A 5,818-nucleotide genomic window follows, 5' to 3' on the forward strand; every position below is an offset into this window, starting at 1 on the left:
CAGATAAATGGATAAATAAAATGTGATACATATATATAATGTAGTACTATTCATCCATAAGAAGGAATGAGATCCTGTAATTTGCCACAACGTGGATGGAACTGGAGGATATTATATTAGGTGAAATAAGCCAGATACGGAAAGACAAACTCCACATGTTCTCACTCATCTGTGAGAACCAAAAATTAAAACAATTGAACTCATGGAGGTAGAGAATAGAATGATGGCAACCAGGGGCTGGGGAAGGTAGTGGGGAGGTGGAGGAAGTGGGGATGTTAATAGGTGAAAAAATATAGTTAGACATAATGAGTAAGATCTAGTATTTGATAGCACAACAGGGTGACTATGGGCATCAATAATTTGTACATTTCGGAATGACTTAGAGAGTACAATTGGAATGTTCATAACACGAAGAAATGATGAATATTGGAGGTGACGGATACTCTGTTTACCCTGATGTATTACACATTGTATGCCTGTATCAAAATACCTCATGTGCCTTACAAATATATATACCTATTACATACCTATACAAATTAAAAATAAAAAAAATTTTCAAAAGACAGTAAACGAATGAGGCAAACAACTCTACACACAAAAATTTGGTAACATTAACTATCACAACACACCCAATATAAAATGGATAATTTGAGTAGCCTTATAATTGTTAAGATAATTGAGTTTATAATTTAAAAACTTCCAATAAAGGAAATCTCCAGGATCAGATTGTTTAGATAATTCTACCAAACATTTTTTAAAAATGGATACTTTGGCTAACTAACACCGCTGTAGATCTTTGAAAGAGAGCCACACAATCTCTTTCTGAAAATAAAAGAGTACAGGCCACTTACCAATTTATTTTATGAATCTAGTATTACACTGATATAAAACAAGGTAAACACAGTATCAAAAACCTACAGATTAATGTGTCTCATGAACATAGGTGCAAAAATCCTTAGTAAAACACTCGCATTCATATGTTGAAACCTAAACACTGATGTGGTATATTAGGAGGTGGGGCCTTTGACAGGTTATTAGCTCATTCAGGATCTACCCTCATGAATAGGATTAGTGCCCTTGTAAAGGAGACCCCAGAGAGCTGCCTTGCCTTTTCATCATATGACAGACACAGTGAGAAGGCACCATTTATGCACAAGGACGTAGGCCCTCACCAGACTTCAAATTTGCTGGGAACTTGAACTTGGACTTCCTAGCCTCCTAAACTGTGAGGAATAAGTTTCTGTTGTTTATACGCTAGCCAGTTTATGGTGTTATAGCAGCCCGAATAATCTAAGGCACCATGACTAAGTGGAATTTATTCCATGGATATAAGCTTGTTTGATATTTGAAATTAATCGACATAATCTACCATATTTGCAGACTTAAGAAGAAAAAACACATGACCATATTACTTAATGCAGAAAAAGTAATTGACAAAATTTAAGATCTGTTGATGATAGAAATTTTCAGAAAAATAGGAGTAGAGGCGAACTTCTTCAACTTGATAATGAGCATCTACAAAACAAACAAACAAACAAAAAACTAGAGCTAACATTACACTTAATGGTGAAAGACTGAGTGCTTTCTCCCTAATATCAGGAACAAGACAAAGATGTCTGTGCTCACTATTGTCATTCAACATAGTGCTGGCCATTCTAGCCAGTGAAATAAGGCAAGAAAAGGAAATAAAATGCATACAGTTCAGAAAAGAAGAAATAAAATGATTCCTATTTGCAGACAATGTAATTGCCTAGGTCGAAAATATCAAAGGGTCTGAAAGAAAAACACTAAAAGCCATAAAAATTTATTGTTATTTTGATATACTAACAATAAACACTGGAATTAATAATACAACACTCTTTACAGTTGCTTAAGAAATTAAAATACTTAGGTGTAAATTTAACAAAACATGTGTGGGACTGTGATGTGAAAACCACAGAACAATAATGAAAAAAATTAAAGAATATTTAAACTAATGGAAAGATGTACTGTGTTCAAGAATTAGAAGACTCAACATATTATAAATTTTAATTCTCTTCAAATTGATATACAAGCTTAAAGCAATTCTTATCAAAATTCCAGCAAGCTTTTTTTTAGATATGACAATAGGATTCTAAAATTTATATGGAAAGGTAAAGGAACTATAATAGCTAAAACAATTCTGTAAAAAATAAAATGTGTGAAGGTAAATACATGGACAAATATAAAAACCAGTATTAAAATAATTTTGTTTGTTACTCCACTTTTTATTTATTTTCTATAGGATTTAAAAGAAAAATGCATAAAATAATTATATATTTATGCTTTTGGGCACACAATGTTTAAAAAATGTAATTTGTTTGGGAGGTTGAGGCGGGTGGATCATTTTAGGTCAGGGGTTCAAGACCAGCCTGGCCAACATGGTGAAAGCCTATCTCTCCTAAAAATACAAAAATTAGCCAGGCATGGTGGTGCACTCCTGTAATCCCAGCTACTTGGGAGGCTGAGGCAGAAGCTTTGCTTGAATTGGGGAGGTGGAGGCTGCAGTTAGCTGAGATCGTGCCACTGCACTCCAGCCTGGGTGACAGACCAAGACTCTGTCTAAAAAAAAAAAAAAGATGTAATCTGTGACATCAATATCATAAAGAAGTGAGCAGAGCTTTACAGAAGTAGAGTTTCCATATGTAACTGTAGTTAAGTTGGTATTAATTAAAAATAGATCAGTGTAACTGTGAGATGCTATATGTAACCTCTGGCTAATCACAAATAACATATATAGAATATACACAAAGTATACACTATATACAAAAATTAACTCAAAGTAGGTCAAAGATTTAAATGTAAGAGCAAAACGATAGAACTCCTAGAAGAAAGCAGGCTAAAGCCATCATGACATAAGATTTGGTGAGGATTTCTTGGATCTGACACAAACAGCATGGGTAACAAAAGAGAAAAATAGATAATTTTGACTCAATCCAAATTAAAAACCTTTGTGCATCAAAGGACATTATTAAGAGAGTTAAAAAGCAACACACAGAGTGGGAGAAAATATTTGCAAATAATACATCTGTTAAGGGACTAATAGCCAGAACATATAATGAATTCATGTAACTCAACCACAACAACAAAACAAATCAACCCAATTCAAAAATGGGCCAGTATATTGAATAGACATTTTTCCAAAGAAGATACACAAATTTTCAATAAGCACATGAAAAGATGTTCAACATCACTAGTCATTAGGGAAATGAAAATCAAAATTATATTTAGATACCACTTCACACCCATTAGGATGGTTATTATATATATTTAAAACAGACAACCCCCAGAATGACAAGTGCTAGTGAGGAGATGGAGAAATTAGAACACTTGTGCCTTGCTGGTGGGGATGTAAAATGGTGCAGCTGCTGTGGAAAACTGTATGGTGGTTCCTCAAACATTTAAACATAAAATTACCATATGATCCAGCAATTCCACTTCTAGGTATATACTAAAAAAAAAATGACAGTAGGTACTCTAACAGATACTTGTACACCAATGTTCATAGCAGCATTATTCACAATAGCCAAAAGACGGAAACTATCCAATTGTTCATCAGTGTATAAATAGATAAACAAAATGTGGTACATGCATACAATAGATTATATTCTTTTTTTTTTTTTTTGAGACAGAATCTCAATCTATTTCCTAGGCTGGAGTGCAGTGGCACAATCTCGGCTCACTGCAACCTCTGCCTCCTGGGTTCGAGCGATCCTCTTGCCTCAGCCTCCCGAGTAGCTGGGATGACAGGTGTGTGCCACCATACCCGGCTAATTTTTGTATTTTTAGTAGAGGTGGGGTTTCACTATGTTGGCCAGACTGGTCTTGAACTCCTGACCTCAGGTGATCCGCCCACCTCGGTTTCCTAAAGTGCTGGGATTTCAGGTGTGAGCCACTGTGCCCAGCCAGATATTATTATTCATTCTTAAAAGAAATGAAATTCTTACACATGGCACAACATGGGTAAAGCTTGAGGACATTATGCTAAGTAAACCATACACGAAAGGACAAATATCATATTATTTCACTTATAAGAGGTACCTTAAGTAGACAAAATCAGAGACAAGAAAGTATAGAGGTTATCAGGAGCTGAAGGAATGAAATTACTTTTTGATGGGTATAGAGTTTCTGTTTGGGTTGTATGAAAGTGTTCTGGAAATGGACGTGATGATGGTTGTACAACCATCTGTGAATGTACTTAATGGCACTGAATTGTACTTTTAAGATGGTTAAAATTGTAAGTTTTATGTTATGTATATTTTACCATAATAAAAAGCAACATATTGGAAAAAATAACTCATTCATATAGTTCTTTATATGCTTTTGCACCCATTTTCTTTGATTTTCTGGGTTATAGCCCCTTGCCATCCACTTCTATATACCCTGGGTTTATCCTGTCATAACACTCGTGCCAGCGAGCTGTAGTGTTTGATTATATTGTCCTCTTCAATAGTCTGCAAGTTTTCAGAAGGCAGATTTTCTTTCTCTTGTTCACAGTTGTGTCCCAGGGTCTATTTTGGTGTCTAGCAAGCAGTAAATGCTCAAATACTTGTTGAAAGCATTAACTACTCACAGGTGTGTAAAACGATAGAAGACAAATGTCTTGTGACTCTAAGTCTAACCCTTATTTATTGGGACAATCCAACATTTTCTAATGATCTCTCTGCTTCTAGTACACTACTTCTGTCATTCGAGCTGTATCTGTCTACAGATATGAAAGGTAGATATGTCTTTATAGAAACAGCTTGTATGGGCATGTCGCTTTAAGGATTAATGGTAAGTTCCAGTACAGTCTTTGGAGGAGGTTTCTTCTTGTATACCTGACATTGCCTTTCCCTCATTACCTATAAAATTACCTATAGAAATAATAAGGCAGAGTCTCCTAGGCAAAAATGGAATTGAAAGATCAGTATAGGTCTATTCAGGAGTATTTTCTAGTTTAATCACCTATTATTATATTCTTCCTCGAAGGTTTCTTGTTATGCTGCAATGCAAAGAATGTCCAATGAATTATAGTCAAAACTTAAGTCAGTTCAATACCAGAAACATATGTGTTTCCAAATCATAGTTTTCAAATACATTATTTTTAAACATGTGTCTATTTTGGCATTTTGCAGGCTATAAAATGAAAATATAGCTGAGAAGCACAAAGAATTCTGGCCCAGGTCCCAGATGAGAGGGAAGGGTGGCTTGAGAGGTGAATGTATTTGTTGTGTGAACACAGAATGTTGTGGGCGAACTATTGGGAGAGGATGCATAGGTGGTGCTGTCTTGCTTATTCCCAGCAGAGGGTGCTTTCAGCCTGTGTGAAGCCTCCTGGGTCCTCCCAGCATTCTTCCATCCTTGAGGTTTTCTGTTCTTGTTATTACTTTTAAGTCTCAGCTTTGGTGGCCATAACCTTAGGGAAAAGCATTGAGATCTGAGGTTTGGCCAATGGTTCAAGGTTTATTGAGAAATGCTATGTTCACTTTATCAGGCTGGAGGAAGCTCTCTCTAGTTTTAACCAAAGGCCTGGGGACTGGAACTAAAATTAACAAAAAAGTTTGCAAGGCAAACAGCTCCACCTCTTCTCCCAGACCCAGATTCCTTTTCTCTTTGAACAGTTGGCTTTGAAATCACACCTAGTTTCTCCAGGTTGCAGAGAAATGTGGGAGCATGCGAGATTGTTTCAGTATGGCTGGCTTGGAGAACTGTGTGTCCCAGACTAAATTATCTGAGTGTGTGAGAGGATGACAGGTAAGAAAGACGGGGGAGTAATATATCTTTCATTTGACAGCAAGCTAAGGGACATCTTTGTAGC

This window comes from Homo sapiens, chromosome 11, assembly GCF_000001405.40.
Source record: "Homo sapiens chromosome 11, GRCh38.p14 Primary Assembly".
NCBI lineage: Eukaryota > Metazoa > Chordata > Mammalia > Primates > Hominidae > Homo > Homo sapiens.